General features: G+C 36.0%; 1 long non-coding RNA gene across 2 annotated transcripts in view; it reads left to right on the forward strand.

Annotated features, from left to right (window-relative positions):
- Positions 1–6,302: 6,302 nt before the first annotated feature.
- LOC105379078 (uncharacterized) overlaps positions 6,303–19,051 on the forward strand; it is a 33,914-nt gene continuing 21,165 nt past the window's right edge. The window contains exons 1-4 of one of the 2 annotated variants that reach the window (XR_948561.2): positions 6,303–6,340; positions 9,003–9,139; positions 9,573–9,671; positions 12,837–12,969. This is a non-coding gene — a long non-coding RNA (uncharacterized LOC105379078). Of the gene's footprint in view, positions 6,341–8,389; positions 9,140–9,572; positions 9,672–12,836; positions 12,970–19,051 lie in introns of those variants that run through there. The other variant, XR_001742803.1, reaches the window with a different exon arrangement.

Raw genomic sequence — 19,051 nt, forward strand, 5'->3', positions numbered from 1 at the left:
ATTCCTATGATCTGGGTAAATTTGCCTAGTCTATTTTTCTTTACCCTAGATTTAAAAAATTTAAACAAATCAGGAAATAACCTTGTTTTCTATTCTTCTTGTAAAAGCAGCACTTATTAAAATTTCATTCAGTGTTTGATCCCTTACTCCCCTAAAGCTTAGATAATGTCCAAAAAATCTACTGCAAGTCAATAGGACTGTTTCGATACATGCTTCATTATCGCAGCTTTTGCTGCATCCTTGATTGAAGGTCATGCTCTGCTAGATGCATGGCAACACCACCAGTCAAGTTCACATCAGATCTGCTTCTTGAGGTTTGCAGAATAGCCCAAAAAAAGTCATTCAACTTCTGAGGAACCACACTGGAATTTTGGCTGGCCGATAGGATTGGTGTTTTTATGTCTTAGCTGTAATTTTGGTAGGTTATTTAAACCATGCCATTAGATGGGTTCCTGAAATAAACTAGTCTGGATGGAAATAAATACTGGGGAATATTCACTTTAAAAGAGATGAGCGTTTTGACTCTCTGAAGTCTTACTGTGGTAGAAAATAACTCTTTTCATGCCACCAGAGGCAAAATTGCTGATTAATGGAGAAATGCAGTTAGCTAGAAAAAAAATCTTTACTGACACTATAAAAAACAGTATTTTATGCTGTATCTCTGAACAATACAACAAACTTTTCTTTAAATCATCTGCTTTAGTCTGGCATCTTAAAATGGAGATGTAATTATTTTCACAATCGATTAGTTTTTTACAGTTGCCATAAATGGTAAAAAGAAGAGTAAAAATAAATCCATAAAATTCCCTTCCCTGACAAATGGTTTATAAGTCATAAGAAAAACTGCACCTCTTCATATCCTTCAAATTAATTGTTTTATTGATAAAATAAGAACTGTTTAAAAATGCTTAATCAATGCAAATATGGCATAATTATTGTGTCTGGGAAGTTTTTTGTTTTAATTAGAAAAAAAGAATATTTTAAAAATGCACTTAACCTATTCATTGTATCTTGGGATATTTGTGAAAAGAAGTGCAGTGATCTAGAAAGTAGAAGGATGGTTACCAGAGGCTGAGAAGGGGGTGGGGGACAGGGAGTGGTGTGGAAGGATTAAAAAAATAGTTGAAAGAATGAATAATACCTAGTATTTGATAGCACAACAGAGGGACTATAGTCAAAGTAATTTAACTGTACATTTTAAAATAACTAAAGATTGTAACTCGATTGCTTGTAACACAAGGGATAAATGCTTGAGGGATAGATGCTCCATTTTCCTTGATGTAATCACTACACATTTCATGCCTGCATCAAAATATCTCACATACCCTGTAAAAATATACACCTACTATGTACCCACAAAAATTAAAAATTAAAAAAAGTAGTGCACTGACAGTTTATAGAGGGAGGAAATTGCTTTGAAAAATATCAAGATACTTTTTAAAACGGTTTTCTTCTTGATATTATTTCTCCATTTTCTGTTGCCCATTTTTGTTGCCAAATTCTATATCTGCTCCCTATTAAGAGAATTTACTCACTTCCATAAGCATGTGGTAAATTGATATTGTAACACCCAGAAAGAAGCTCTAAGCTTTTTAGGGGTTTTACATGTGTGACGGAAGAATACCCCAAAACAAAGACTCCTTGAAGGGCCGGCTGCATAATTTGTAGGCCCACTGAAAAACAAAAATGGAGTCCATTAAAAAATGAAGAATTTCAAGGTGGTAACAGGAGAGGATGAAATCAAGCATGGAGCCTTTCTAAGCGAGGGGTCATTTGTGGTTGCACAGGTCAAGGCCTATGAGGTTGGCCCTGGCTGCTTCTGGGAGCCTCTTAACTATTCTCTTCCCTGTTTTTAAAATTATTTAAATGAGGATCATCTGTTCTTTTATTTGTCATAGACTTTGAGCAGCTCTTTTCCTCTCTCTTTAATATTTTGGATCCTTATTTTTGCCTTTCTGTCAATTTTTGATTCATGCCCATGCTTTAAAATGCTCAGTGATATCCTTCTTGACAACTAGCTCCAAAACATCTTTCAATTTAACCACCTCCTTGATTTTCCTTCTCCTTCTCTTCCCTCCAATTCTAGCCTGCATGATCTGGTTCCAATACCCTGATTTATGCCCTTATCCAACACTCCTCATTGACCCAGGTTTGTTAAATGCTCTGTGGGCCCCTGGAATGAGTCAGTAACTCACATATCTTGAGACTAGATAGCGGTGTCTTGACCACTAGGATTCCATTACCTTTGTGTTCTTCTTCCTCTGCCGTCAGATTTTGGAAAGATCTAAAAACAAAGTATGCATTTGTTATTTTTGGATGTGGTTTGTTTTTAGATTTATGACCTCATTTCTACCTTTGTGAACAGGACTAGACAATAACTTAAAAGAGACTAAGGCCCTCTTTCATCATTACTGGAAACTCTTAATAAAACCTTAAGCCTTTTACTTCCTTTTTTTTTTTTTTTTAAACTCCTGGGTCCCATCTGGATCCTTCTAACTCTGAAGATCAACAGATAACCTTCAAGAAGGAGGAGGACAGCTTAACAGAAAGAAGAGGAAAAGGAAATTTTAAAAGGGTAACTTTGAAACTAGGGTACTTTTGAGAACAAATGGTTCAGGCTCTAGGGCACACAACCTAAACAAGCAAAGCCAGGGAACCAAAGAACATATGAAGATTTTTTTTTAAATACAAATCCTTCTAACAGATATGTCTTATCCTCCTGACATTAGTGCAAGAAACTGAGCCAAGGGTAGGAATGAAGTTATCATATCTCCTCCTGGACTATCTGTTTCTAATAATAGTTCTACAGTTCTAAAGCAGCTTCTTAATTTCTCTTAATCACCTAATAAGGTAACAGGGGAAGCAATAGTCACTTCTTATCATTGAGGAAACTGAGGCTCATGTGGCTTAGCTGATATTTCCAAGGTCACAAAGTAACATAAAAATTTAATGAGAACTCAGAATTCTCAAATGCCTAATAAGGAGTCTTGTCATATCTTCTTGCTAGTATCAAGATATTTGTCACTGTTGTCACTGTTTTTGCCAATTTCCATGTTATTTCTAGATTAACCATCACTTAGGTCTTCAACTTCCTTTACTGTTTTTCTTCTTTCCGTATTCATCATTCTTATGTATGACAATTCTTTAGTTTATGCCAGTGTAATTTTGTTGATAGACTGTTTTTTCAAGTATTTGAAGCTAGTTCTTTGATATGTATTATTTCAGTAATGAGGTAAGATAGCACGCTAAAAATTACTACAATTTTTAGCTTAACCAGTAACTTATAGTTTCCATATGTCACTGGGTGTCATTTATAATCTCTCAAAATTAGACTCAATAGTTATTTATCCTGAGCTATATCGTTAGTTTTAAATATCACCAGGCTTTTAGATGGAGATCTTAAGATTGTACAGTTGCTTAGTTACTGGCTTTTTTCATTGCTTCCCATTTAAGCCAATGACTAAATGAACAATTAGGACTTGGGTTGTGTGAGGAATGTGTTTTATTTGGCATGGACCCTAATGATCAGATAATGAACAGCTTCATTCCTATCAAGAGGATATTCTAAAGGATGGTTTCATTTCTTAATGCTGACCCTCACTCTGAGAAGCAGGCTGCTCTAATCATGATAGTTAATGACCAATAAGTGGCCATTTGTCACATTTTCATTCTTTATTCCAGGCCTCAGCCAACCTCTAACATAAAGGATTCAGACTATGATAAAATGCTTTAACAGGTAATGATGAGAGAGCTGATGAGAATTTTTAGGGCAGAGTTCATGCTCCATATGTTCTCTGTAGTAATCATATTGAAAAATAGTAGTTTGGTTCGAGGCACTACATAGTTTGATTTACTGGACATTTATTGACTACCCTATGTGTAACTCCTAACAGTAGAAAGAGAAATGAATATCAAAGCACAAATCTCTGCCTTTAAAAAGCTTATTCTGTAGTAGGAAGTCAGGTTCTTAATAAAAATTTAAATGAAATAGATTAAGACAAGTTTGATTACTAGACTCGTTCACAGAAAATTTTATAAATTCAGCGGAAATCTTAGGAGCCTCCAAAAATTATGAAGGTCTTTAAATGGTTTCTTTTGTACCCTGGGCTTGTATGTACTTGACATTGAATATAAATATAACCCAACATTTGAAAAGTTCACAGTTAAATTGTGGAAGTTCATTAACTACATGATTACAGCTGATTTGTTATGTTTAAACTTCCATAATCCATTTACAAGGTTTGTCCATTTAAAATTTATAAATTAGCAGTTTTCTCTGCTTCTATTATTCAGGTCATTGCACCTTAGATAAGCTAAGTGTTTAAGTGTTTCCTCTAAAGAAAGCAAACAAAATTTAAATATCTAGCATAGGAAGGTCGAACTACAGAAAGTAATCATTAGTGGTCTAAACAAGAGCTTCTATTATTATTAGACACTAATATTCTATAAATTTTTCTATAAATGATCTATAAATTAAATTACATATTATTAGAGAAAAACATTTTAAGAATGAAGTATTTTAAAATAAAATGTTATGATGTTACTTTCCATTTGGGTGGTATATGTCACATATTCTAGATTTATTCTCGTGAAATATCATTCAAATAAAGTTTAAAAAGAGAATAACCCTATTTCAATGCCTTTGTTATTATAATACTATATGCCAAGGGAATTTCTAATGACCTAAGTGTTATACATTACAATTTCTGTTTAGAATTAAAACATTTACTGAAAAAAGAGTTTACAAGGTTTCATTAATTCAGTTGTAACATATATGGTGATGAGGATGGAAAGATGAAATAGAAATTAGTGAAGCATAAATGAAAATCAAAATTACAGTGAAGAAACTCAAAATATCACTGGTCACCAAATATTAATCGTTTGCAAAGGATTTTGGTAATAAAAAGAGAGAAATAATAGTCTATAGCTTACAAAGACTTTTTGATTCTTTAAAGTATTTATTTATTTAGTGTCTACTCTGTGTGTCAAACACTGTGAGAGATAAAATATCACCTCCAAGAAGTATAAAATCCAGTAGCAGGACTCAAATTTCAACATAAATAATTGCAATGTTTGGTAGAACATAAAAGGTTCATAACTGAGTTACAGAAAAAATCATATGAATGTTGAAAGGTGGGGAATATTATTCACGACTGGTGAGGTGGGGAGTGAGTTGATTCAGCAAAGAGTCCACAGATCAAGTGGCATTATACTGGGATGGTGTTTTTTCAGGATGAAATAAGTCAAATGTTGAGGAATGAAGAGCACAGCAAAAGCCCTGCTTGACAGAGGCACTGAGGAAGTGAAGAAAAACAGGAATTGAAAAGTTTTGGAAAACATGGGGATGCTTGTGTATGGGAAAGCATTGAATGCTAGGTTAAAGGGCAGTCTCATTTAATTCTATTCAGCAAATATGTATGAAGCAATTTACTGCATGTGTTGTGCTAAGATCTGTGAATATAAAAACAATCAAGGCAACAATTTTTCAATCCTCAGGAATTCACTTTGTCGATGTAGATGTCACAGAAGTCAGGAGTTGAATAAGCTAGGTGAATTATTGGGTGCTTTTGGTCAGAGGAAATCTGGGTTGTAATTTGGAAGCAATAATTTAAAGGTGATGTGTAAAATAAACTGGAATGGAAAAGACTTGGGCAATATACCCTCAAATGTCAGCATTCACAATTTTATTTTATTCAGTTATGAAAAGGACATCTTTTAAAAGAAGAAAAGGAAACATACCAAATCATGTTTACAGGCTGGTGGGGAGAACAAATCTAAGTGGAGTGAGGCTTTTTTTTTTAATTCAGGAATCTCAAGTTAATGTTATAATTTCATTTAAGTGAAGGTAATTCTGACACAGAGTAGTCACTAGAAAGATTTATTTCTTTAATATGCACAACTGCATGCACTAATGAGGGCAGAGGCATGGCGCCAGATCCTGAAAACACCAGTGTTCCTGCCCTCTCAGGAGATTGTCTCAGCAGCTCGAGATCACAGCAAGAGAAAATAAGTGATACCAAGGATTTGGGTAAGAGGGGTGAGAGTGATGGAGGAGGGGGGAAAAGAGAGAGCTTATGCTAAAATTGAAGAATGAAATAAATCTATGTAAAATTAAAATTCATTCTTAACAGTTTCACAGTTAGGAAATATGACACACTTGAATGCCAAATGATTGCTCTAAAATTCTGCTGCTGAACTATTAAAATGATTTAACTTTTCTCCATATGGTAGGCAGAATTCTAGGATGTCCCATAAGATTCTTGCCCCTGATAAACAAGCTTTGTTTAATCTCTTCTCCTTCAGGGTGGATCAAACCTGTCAATATGAGGATGTCTGTCTTGTGAGTAAATTACATTATGTCGTAAAATGGACTTTTTTCAGATATAATTTTGATTCCTCTAGTCAGCTGACTTTGAGCCAATCAGAAGGGAGATTATCCTGGGTGAGCCTGACCTAATCAGGTGAACCTTTGAAAAAGGGTCCAGGAATAAGAAATACTCTTTGCTATTGGCTTTGAGGAAGCAAGCCACACTGAGTTATACAGCTGCAAAGAAAGAATATTCCAGTAACCACATTAGCCTGCAGGAGAATCTGGGGCCTCAGATGGGACACAGCTCTGGCTCACACTTTGAGCGCTGCCTTGTCAGATCCTGAGCAATGCACCCTGATAAGCAGAGTTCAGACTTCTGACCTACAGAAACTGTGGGAAAATAAACGACTGTTTTAAGTTGCTAAGTTTGTGGTAAATTGTTATACTGCAATAAAAAACGTATGCACTCTTTCTTGAATAAATATTCTGAGGGCAGGAAGATAAAAATATATATGAAAATGCTTTTATTAAAAAATGAATGAAAATTCATTGATTAGTCAACCTAAAAGTGTTTAGGCTGGTAGATGTTATTTCCCTACAACTGACTCTTATTCTTAAGAGTTAGGTGTGGTTTAAGATTGAGCAGGCCATCAAATGGCCATGGGCTACTGTGACAGAGAAAAAAAATGCCTCTTTTTATCTCACTTAATTATCATTTTAAAATTATCATTGATTTCCTGAGGAGAGGAAATGAGCTATTTTGGGCAGACTTGGACTTGGATTTGATCACAAAATGTATCATTTAACTGTCCTTTTTGAGGTATAACTCTATAACTTATGCTGTCCTTTTGTTTCTGTCTCTAAAGTATTTTCTTGGCATTGCACTGAAGAATGTGATGAAGAATGGAATCAAGCATTCATGTATCATATAGACAAAGAAATCATAGTCATTAGTTTGGGGCAAGTGTAGTATTTGTGGAGGAATGAGTTCCACTTGCTTTCTCTCAACTTTCTTTCTTGATTCCTGAAATAATAAAAATTGATTTTTGAAAAGAATGAGGAAATGAACAGAAACACTGTAATCAGAATAAAGCTCCAGAGTTATGCCAAAAACCAACTTGGCAACCTTAGGAATTAGTGGAAAAGAAAGTTGTTCTTTATCAGTAAAACAGCCTATGGAACAAGGGTATAGGAAGTGGTTCAATGTAACAGTAGAAAGGTTTATTTGTCTCAAAAACGTGTCATCAGGAGGATGTGTTTGAAAAGTGGTTCGCTTTATCCCTCGCTTCAGCAGGCTGGACGTGAAGACTAGTGCCTCATTTTATCTGTAAGGAGTGGAAAACAGAAGGGAACAGAATCACAGAAAATCTGCATTAGGGGCTGAGAAGAGAGAGAAGGACTCAAATGAGGAGGGCAGGGTAGTAAGAAGAAGGGAAAGAAACAAAGAGGGAGCAAGAAAGAAGAAATCTCCCAATGTCCTTCCTTAGTGACAGATTTTGTACCATTTACTGAAGAGGAAAGCTGAAGAACAGTTTGGCATTATTCTCTGGACTCTATTTGTGTATTTGATCTTAAAATTTTAGAACTTTTAATAATGGACTATGTTTTTAATTCTTTCAAACATTAAGAGTTTAAACAGATGTAAAGGTATACCTTTCTTTTAATTAGTATTCTAAAAGCCTCAAAAATGTGTAAGTCAACACATGGGATTTCAAACATTCTTATTATTAAACTACAGAAAATTTAGGTATACGTATATCTATAGATATTGAAGTATACTGCAGCATTTTCTAATAAATTCTGATAAATAGTGGATATTTTATCATATTTAACAAGGTCATAAGAGTTCAGTAATCGTCCTCTTTACACTGATACTTATCTGTTTACCCATCTCAGTTCATTTGTGTTGCTATAATAGAATATCTGAGATTGGGTAGTTCAAAAACAGAAATTTATTTTTATTTCAATAGGTTTTTGGGTAATAGGTGTTATTTGGTTACATGGATAAGTTCTTTAGTGGTGATTTCTGAGGTTTTGGTGCACCCATCACCCGAGCAGTGTACACTGTACACAGTTGTAGTCTTTTATCCCTTGTCACCCCCCACCCTTTCCCCAGAGTCCCCAGAGTCCAATATATCATTCTTATCTCTTTATGTCCTCATAGCTTACCTTCCACATATGAGTGAGAACATACAATTAAAAACATAAATTTATTTCTCATAGTTCTGGAGGTTAGGAGCCCAAGACAAGGGTGCCAACAGTTTTGTTATCTGGGGAAGGCTGCTCTGTGTTCCAAGATGATGTCTTGAACAGTGAGTCCTTTGGAGGGAAGGAAGGCTGTGTTCTTACATGGCAGAAGGTCAAAGGGCAAAAAGGCCTAACACTGCATGGAACTTTTTTAAAAGCTTTTTAATTCCATTCATGAGAGAGGAGCCCTCATGATGTAAGTAATCACTTCTTGAAGACCACACTTCTTAATATTTACATTGGCAGCATATAAAATTTAGAGGGAATGTATTCAAACCATAGCAATGTCCCACACTCAAATCATCCTAAAATTTCAAGGCCTATCCTCTGAGTTCAATATCTGGTCCATTTGTGGTAGACTACCCACCAGCACCATATAGGGGAAAGTGACACTAGACTTCTTTGGGACTATTAAAACTGAAGTTACCTTCTCATTTTCTCATAGGAGGGAGGAGAAAAATTCCCACCCTATCCTCACAGCTGCCTAAGTGAATAACCACTCAATCAAAAATGGAATCTGGAGTAAAGAAGTTGTGAAACAAGGCAAACAGAAACGCTTTGCACCAATCCCATGACCCAAAAGTGAGGGATTTTCTTCCTTCTCTTCTTCTGCAATGTTCCTTCATGAATAATATTTAGTTCAGTATTTTTCATCCTTATAGAAAACTAGTGTTCACAGGTAATTTTACTGGAATTATGGCAGGTTAGGGTGCAAAATATACACATATTATAGAGGTACACATTTTCATATTCATCAGCTTTACTCATTTTAAAGCTTTTGATTCTCTTCATTGCCCTTCCTGCTATAACTCGAAGTGGATCAGCCGTGAACTTTGGGTCATTCTAAATTTTATTGATTATCCCATTCTACCCAACCAAAAGGCAAAAGTATTTCTACCACATTACTTTGTCTTGAAGGTACAGAGTTCTTTCTCTTGGATAGCTATTGTTTTTACATCAAAAAGTATTCTCCTTTAAGTATCTGAATGCTAATGTGTGTATGTATTCTGTACAGACATGCCGATACAAATGGTTCAATACAGCAAGATCCATAATAACAAGGGTACTGAGTTCTATAGGAGACTGAAGATGAAGTAGTTCACTGAACTTGAAGGTAAAAGCCTATCCTAGGCCTCTGACCATAGAAAGTTCATCATAACTTCTTTGTCTGTGCTCTTAAAAATTTCTTCATCCCTTGTCTAAACTGGTTTTCTGTATCAACCCTTCCTCTAAAATCTTAATGAGTGACTTCTTATAAAAAAAAGTCAGTTCCACGTGTGTATTAGTCCATTCTCACACTGCTATAAAGAACTGAGACTGGGTAATTTATGAAGAAAAGAAGTTTAATCGACTCACAGTTCTACAGGCTGTACAGGAAGCATGACTCAGAGATCTCAAGAAACTTAAAATCACGGCAGAAGGGTGAAGGGGAAGCAAGCAGATATTCATATAGTGGCAGGAGTGAGTGAGAGAAGGAAGAAGTGCTACACACTTTCAAACAACCAGACCTTGTGAGAACTCACTGTTATGAGAACAGCAAGGAGGAAATCCACCCCCATGATTCAATCACCTCCCACCAGTTGCCCCCCATCTCCAAACACTGAGAATTACAATCTGACATGAGATTTGGGTGGGGACACAGAGCCAAACCATATCACTGGCTCCTCCCAAATCTCATATCTTTCTCACATTTCAAAAGACAGTCATGCCTTCTCAACAGTTCCCCCAAATCTTACCTGATTCCAGCATTAACTCAAAAGTCCAAATCCAAAGTCTCATCTGAGACAAAGCTAGTCCCTTCTGCCTATGAGCCTGTAAAATAAAAAGTTAGTTACTTCCAAGATACAGTGGGGGTACAGGCATTGGGTAAATACTCCTGTTCCAAATGGGAGAAGTTGGCCAAAACAAAGGGGCTTGGACCCTGTGGAAATCCAAAACCCAGCAGGTCAGTCCTTAAGTCTTAAATCTCTTTTGACTTCAGGTATTACATCCAGGCCTCACAGGGCCTTGGGCAGCTCTGCCCTTGTGGCTCTGCAGTGTACAGCCCCCATGGCTGCTTTCACGGGCTGGCATTGAGTGCCTGCGGCTTTTCCAGGTACATGATGCAAGCTAGCAGTGAATCTACCATCTCTGGGGTCTGGATAAATTGGCCCTCTTCTTACAGCTCCACTAGGCAGTGTCCCAGTGGGGACTCTGTGTGGGGCCCCAACACCAACATTTCCTCTCTGCACTGCACTAGTAGAGGTTCTTCATGATGCCTCTACCCCTGCAGCGTACTTCTTCCTGGACATCCAGGCATTTCTATACATCCTTTGAAATCTAGATGGAAACTCCCAAACCTCAACTCTTGCTTTCTGCATACCTGTAGGCCCAACACCACATGAAAGCCACCAAAGCTTGGGGCTTGCTCCCTCTGAAGCAATGTCCTGAGCTGTACCTTGGCCCCATTTAGCCATGGCTGGAACTGGAATGGCTGGGATGCAGGATGCCATGTCCCAAGGTTGCACACAGCAGCAGGGCCCTGGCCCTGGCATGTGAAACCATTTTTCCCTCCTAGGTCTCCAGGCCTGTGATGGAAGGGGCTGCCACTAGGGCCCTGAAGGCACTTTCCTCATTATCTTGGCTATTAACATTTGGCTCTACTTATGCAAGTTTCTGCAGCCTTGAATTCCTCTCCAGAAAATGGGTTTTTTCTTTTCTACTGAATGATCAGGCTGCACATTTTCCAAACTTGTATGCCTTACTTCCCTTTTAAATATAAGTTTTAGTTTCAGGTCATTTCTTTGTTTATGCAAATGAACATAGGCTTTTAGAAGTAGCAAGGCCATATCTTGAATGCTTTGCTCCTTAGAAATTTCTTCCAATTGACACCCTAAATCGTCTCTCTCAAGTTCAAATTTCCACACATCTCTAGAGCAGGGACACAGTGTCACCAGTCTCTTTGCTAAAGCAGAGCAGGAGTAATCCTACTTCAGTTCTTAATAAGTTCCTCAGCTCCATCTGAGACCACCTCAGCCTGAACTTCATTGTCCATATCACTATCAGCATTTTGGTTGCAGCAATTTAACAAGTCCTCAGGAAGTTTCAAACTTTCCCTCATCTACCTGTCTTCTGAGCCCTCCAAACTGTTCAAACCTCTGAGTTACCCCGTTCCAAAGCTGCTTCCACATTTTCAGGTATCTTTATAGCGATGCCCCACTTATTTGGTACAATTTTCTGTATTAGTTCATTTTCACACTGTTATAAAGGACTACCTGAGACTGGGTGAATTATGAAGAAAAGCGGTTTAATTGACTCACAGTTCTGCAGGCTTTACATGAAGCATTGCTGGGAGGCCTCAGGAAACTTACAATTATGGTGGAAGGGCAAAGAGAAAGCAAGCACGTCTTCACATGGCAGAGTGGGAGAGACAGAGAGAGTGAAGGGGGAAGTGCTACACACTTTCAAACAACCAGATATCATGAGAACAGCAAAGGGGAAATCTGCCTCCATGATCTAATCACCTCCCACAAGGTTCCTCCTCTAACAGTGGGGACTACAATTTGATATGAGATTTGGGTGGGGACACAGAGCCAAACTACATCACCATGCCTCAACTATCCCTCTACTCTCTGTCCCTAACCATTTGCTTCACCGTGTAAAAATACTGACTATTAGATCACAGACTTTCAGGAAATCACTATTTAGGCATATATTTCTAAGACATCCCCTCTTTACAGAGGAACACCAAATAGGGTACTGATGTGTTCTGACTGTGTCCCCACCCAAATCTTACCTTGAATTGTAGCTCCCATAATTCTCATGTGTCACAGGATGGACCCAGTGGGAGGTAATTGAATCATGGGGTGGGTCTTTCCATGTTGTTTTTGAGATGGTGAATAAATCTCATGAGATCTGATAGTTTTATATAGGGCAGTTCACCTACACAAGCTCACTTGCCTGCCACCATGTAAGGCATGACTTTGCTCCTCATTTGCCTTCAGCCATGATTGTGAGACCTCCCCAGCCATGTGGAACTGCGAGTCAATTAAACATCTTTCCTTTATAAAGTACCCAGTCTTAGGTATGTCTTTATTAGCAGCATGAGAACAGACGAATACAGGTACAAACACACCTGTAACTACTACTGTTTCATTATTCAGACTCCAGTCATATTTTTTATTTTATTAGAAATATTTTTGAAGGGGTAAAAGGATTTACCACATTATTGGTGAGACAATATTAATCTGGGATTTTGAACTGTGTCAGGGTTTCTTAAAGCTGATGTTCTTTTTTATAGTTCCATCAAGTTGGTTGAAGATGTGGAGTGAAAGATTATTAAAATATTCATAATCAAAGCTTGGAGAGATAATGGAAATATTTGAGGACAAAATTAAGATTTCAAGATGAATGATGGCTAGAAATAATCAAATGTAAGTATAATGAAAATATAAGTAAATACTGAACTTGAGTTCAAAAAGTCAGCTGTGGAAATACAGGTTAGGGCAACATCTGACATTATAGTGAGTGTTTAATATTAATCAATAAAGCAAAACAAGAAGCAGTAAAAGCTATAGTGTTACATTTTGGCCAACAATGTGATGTGGTTTCTAACATAGCTAATGCGCTCTTATCCTGTATAATCTTATTAAGAGAATAAAGCATTATATATAAATATAGGTGTAGTCATATAAATAATAGTCATTATTTAACTGAGTTGATATGAGTGTTAAGTGAAGCATAGGAGGCCACACATATAATAATTAAATTTGTTAGTATATGGCACTTAATAAATATTTTTTAATTAAACCCTTGTTTTAAAAATTGGAAATAACAATTGCAATATATAAAATAAATTAATGTCAGAGATATATGGAACTCCTAAAAAAGTAAGAATAATAATAGTAACAATAACAATATTACTGGTATACTTGTGTAGCAAATTACAGCTTACACTATATGTATTATCTATCTATCTATCTATGTATCTATCTATGTATCTATCTATGTATCTATCTATCTATCTATCTATCTATCTATCTATCTATCTATCTATCCATCTATATTAGTCTGTTTTCACATTGCTATAAAGAACTACCTGAGACAGTAATTTATAAAGAAAAGAGGTTAAATTTACTCACAGTTCCACAGGCTCTACAGGAGGCATGGCTGGGAAGCCTCAGAAAACTCAGGAAACTTAACAATCATGGCAGAAGGACGAAGGGGAAGCAAAGACATCTTCACATGGCAGAGTGGGAGAGAGAGAGTGAAGGCGGAAGTGCTACACACTTTCAAACAACCAGATCTCATGAGTACTCACTCACTATTATGAGAACAGCAAGGGGGATATTCACCCCCATGATCCGATCAACACCCACCAGATCCTTCCCTCGACATTGGGAATTACAATTCAACATGAGATTTGGGTGGTGACATAGAACCATACCATATCACTATCTATCTATTGATTTGCATACTTAATTTTAATCAGGTCCTCATAACCCCATAAGTAATATAGGAATTATTTCATTCTGTAAGTGTAAATGTAAACTCAGAGAGACAAAATGATTTATTTTGACTTCATGTCTAGTGGTCATCAAGGACCCAAATGTGTTTTTCTAGGAGCATTGTTCTGGATGAATCAAAGCAGCATCCAGATAAGAAGTGGACTGATTTGATATTCTGTGTTGAATGTATGTATGTTTTAGTGGGGAAGTATACTATACAATGTAAAATAATATGTTAGAGTATGTCATATTTATATAAATAATTTATATAAATAATACAGCATAATGTAATAAAGTTAGAGATTTGGTTAGACTTAATTTTATTTATTCTGAGAGGAATATTGAAAAGCTAAAATTAATCAAAACTAAGTATAGAAAGTATGCTAACATTCTAAAAACCATGTTCAAAGAAAAATTACCTATAATAAATAGATAAATGCTTTATTAAAGAGCAAGCTCTGATGGCATAGAGGCCATTTTTGTTTTATTCAAAAATGGTTCTTGCTACAGGGTAGAAGTTGAATAGTTATTTGCTTAATGAATTAATTTATGAATGAATGAATGTTTAGACATATGTCTGTCAGTATTTATTTGAAGAAAGACATTTGATTTATTTCAAAAGGCAATAGTAGAAATCAGAACTGGATGTTACATTGAGACAAATTTAGCTATATTAATATGAGGAAAAAATGTCCCATGGTAAGTGGTTTTTTGAGGCTTCTTGAGTATTTGGGATTATTCTACTGCAAGAAGCATCTTTTGCCATGCAAAAGCTCTAATTTAGTCCCAGCTATTTATCTTTGTTTTTATTGCATTTGCTTTTGGGTTCTTGGTCATGAATTCCTTGCCTAAGCCACTACCTAGGAGGGCTTATCCAATGTTATCTTCTAGAATTTTTATAGTTTCAGGTTTTAAATTTAAGTCCTTCTTCCATCTTGAGTTGATTTTTGTATTAGGTGAGAGACGAGGATCGAGTTTCACTCTCCTACATGTGGCTTGCCAGTTATCCCAGCACCATTTGTTGAACAGGGTGTCCTTTCCCCACTTTATGTTTTTTTTTTGCTTTGTTGAGGATAAGTTGGCTGTAATTATTTGGGTTTATTTCTGGGTTCTCTATTCTGTTCCATTGGTCTATGTGCCTGTTTTATACCAGTAGCATGCTGTTTTGGTGACTATGGCCTTATAATATAGTTTGAAATAAGGTGATGTGATGCCACCAGATTTGTTCTTTTTGCTTAGTCTTCCATTGGCTATGAGGGCTCTTTTTTGGGTGCATATGAATTTTAGGATTGTTTTTTCTAGTTCTGTGAAGAATGATGGTGGTATTTTGATGGGAATTGCATTGAATTTGTAGATTGCTTTTGGCAATATGCTCATTTTCACAATATTGATTTTACCCATCCATGAGCATGAGATGTGTTTCCATTTGTTTGTGTTGTCTGTGATTTCTTGTAGCAGTGTTTTGTAGTTTTCCTTGTAGAGGTGTTTCACCTCTTTGGTTAGGTATATTCCTAAGTTGTGTTTTTTCAGCTATTGTAAAATGGGTTGGGTTGTTGACTTGATTCTCAGCTTGGTCACTGGTGGTGTATAGAAGAGCTACTAATTTGCATACATTAATTTTGTATCCAGAAACTTTGTTGTATTCTACAGTCAGCAGAGTGAACAGACAGCCCACAGAGTGGGAGAAAATCTTCATAATCTATATATCTGACAAAGGACTAATATCCAGAATCTACACAAACTCAAACAAATTAGCAAGAAAAAACAAACAACCCCATCAAAAAGTGTGCTAAGGACATGAATACACAATTCTCAAAAGAAGATATACAAATGGCCAACAAACATATAAAGAAATGCATCATCACGAGTGATCAGGGAAATGCAAATGAAAACCACAATGTAATCCAACCTTACAGCTGCAAGAATAGCCATCATCAAAAAATACAAAAATAGCAGATGTTGGCATGGATGCGGTGAACAGGGAACACTTCTACACTGCTGGTGGGAATGTAAACTAGTACAACCACTATGGAAAACAGTGTGGAAAGCCCTTAAAGAGCTAAAATTAGAACTACCATTTGATCCTGCAATCCCACTACTGGCTATCTACGCAGAGGAAAAGTCATTATACGAAAAAGGTACTTGCACATTCCTGTTTATAGTAGCACGATTCACAGTTGCAAAAACGTGGAACCAACCCAAATGCCCATCAATCAACGAATGGATAAAGAAACTGTGGTATACATATGTAATGGAATACTACTCAGCCATAAAAAGAATGCATTAATGGCATTCACAGTGACCTGGATGAGACTGGAGAGTATTATTCTAAGTGAAGTAACTCAGGAATGGAAAAGCAAACATTGTATTTTCTCACTCATAAGTGGGAGCTAAGCTATAAGGATGCAAAAGCATGAGAATGACACAATGGACTTTGAGGATCGGGGGAAAAGGCGGGAAGGATGTGAGGGACAAAAGGCTACAAATTGGATGCAATGTATACTGCTTGGGTGGTGGGTGCACCAAAATTTCACAAATCACCACTAAAGAATTTACTTATGTAACCAACCACCACCTGTTCCCCTATAACCTATGGAAATAAAAATAAAAATAAATATTTTTTTAAAAAAGAAGAGTCTTGTATAAAGTTATGTATTTCAATTTAATTATCAAAAGCTGTTTAGCTAATAGCAGAATACTTTACAGGTAAAATATATGCCATAGACATCTGATATTATTCTGTGAAAAATTGGATGATTACCAATATTCTTAAAATAATTTCCATGACTTGAAGTGAAAACCTAAACAATGGATTCTGTTCTTGAGCTGAAATACAGTATATGCTACTTCAGGAATAGGGAAGAGTTGACTAGAATTAGAAATTAGTGAGCATAGGTAATTCTAAAAAATCTCTGGATTAAAAAATATCATATTATTTATTATGTAGGTATGATTTTTTTTTTAATGTCAAGTAAGCAAAAGGAAAAAAGATCCATACGAAGATGCAAGCTTCAGATTTGGATCAGAGAGTAACAGTAATGATGGATAACATGCATAGTAGACTCTGCTTTCTGGGAGAAAAAATGTTTTGATGACATACCAATAGTTGTTGAACTTCATTTTCACATTTTTCTTGTTTGTGGGTAAAACCCATTGAAGTCTTGAATATATCTGGAATTTGTGTATGGAATAATCTTAGTGGAGCCTAATTCCATCTTTCACAAAACTAAATTCAGCAAATAGCAACATGCCTTAGAAATTGAAGGGATAGTCAATTCCAAATGTGTTCCCTGGGTAGTCACCAAAAGGACACATTTTTTGGCCTGTTTTTTTTCTTTGATGATTGGTTCATTTCTTTAAATATATAGCAAACCAAACTGATTTTGTTTAGAGTTAATCTCATTATTCAAATCATTCATTGAGGACAAATCTGTACAATGCAAATTAAACAGTAATGTGAAACTTAAGATAAACAATACTTACACTGACAGATATATACATTTTTAAATTTTTGAACAATCTAAAAAATGTAATTATTGAATAGCAATAATTTGTGTGTAAAACATGCTGAGAGAGTTAATTTTATGAAGTAATAAAAACTTTTATTTTATTTTTATTTATTGTGGGAATGCTGATGTAATATTTTTTTGGCAGGGTAGAAAAGCTATAGACTTATTTTCCTGGAACATATTACAAAAACTTAGAAATAATTTTTTTGATCGAATGAGTGAAACTCAGGGTTCAAGGCAGTTTAAAGATTTGTGGTGGGTATATTTTATATAATAAATAAAATACCTGCCAAAAAGTATCATATTAAACATAAAATGGGACGAAAACACTTTTGAAAAAAGTCAAGTGAAAGCCTATAGTATTATAGTATATATTTCTCACTAGTATTTACTGAAACTAATGTATTACATAATCATTGCTTCAATATTTATGAGTAGTTGAAGGCTCAGCTTGCCACTGAATGGAGAAATTCTGAACTTTCTATTTAGCACATGTTTCAGAAAAAACACATATTTCCCTATTGCTTATTTTGATAGACAAAGAAAGGCTGTCCGAGGCTGTACAGAAGCAACAAAACAAAACTCATAGCTATAATTTCTAGAGAATTGTTGTGTCTTAAGAGAAGAAACAAATAAATGACCCCCTTTCTGGCTAGTTGTATGATAGCATGGTAATCTTTTCACTAGTTTTTCCATCTAAAGAATGGATATATCACAAATATCATCTTTCTATGCATAGATGAAAATAATTTATAGGATATTTTAGAGTGCTCTGTAAGCACATGATGTTCTACAAATGCTCAATAATTAAGAGAATGGCTCATTTTAAAATATAAATCAAGTATGCTAGGGGAGGAAGAATTCCAGGAAAGAAACCAGGCAAAATGCCACCACATCAGAGTTCTTGGCAGGTGTTTCAGCAGCAGCAAGGCATGGTACTTTCTTTATTATATCTTCTACGAGGTATGATGGGCTTCATCCATCGGACATGAAGCAGACTCCAGATTACTCTTTAGAGGTCTCAGACCTTGCCCAACGACAAGATCTCTGACTGAAAAGAAGTATTACACATCTAATCAGTGTAAGCTTTGCTGGAACTAGGGTGGTAGTTTTCACAAAGCTTTCAGGTTAGTAGGGAGGGCAGGCAGTTAAATACGTCTTAATGATACCTTGCAAAGAATGGACAGATGGTCAGGAAAGCCATTTTAGCTCATCCTGGTTGGAGGTGGGGTTTATCACGGTATTAGTCTATTTTCACACTGCTGATAAAGACATACCCAAGACTGGACAACTTACAAAAGAAAGAGGTTTAATGGGACTTACAGTTCCATGTGGCTGGGGAAGATTCACAATCATGGCAGAAGGCAAGGAGGAGCAAGTCACATCTTACAAGAATGGCAGCAAGCAAAAAGAGATCGTGGAGGAAAACTGCCCCTTACAATAAACATCAGATCTTGTGAAACTTACTATCATGAGAATAGCAAGGGAAAGACCTGCCC

The sequence above is a fragment of the Homo sapiens genome, chromosome 5 (assembly GCF_000001405.40).
Source record: "Homo sapiens chromosome 5, GRCh38.p14 Primary Assembly".
Lineage (NCBI taxonomy): Eukaryota > Metazoa > Chordata > Mammalia > Primates > Hominidae > Homo > Homo sapiens.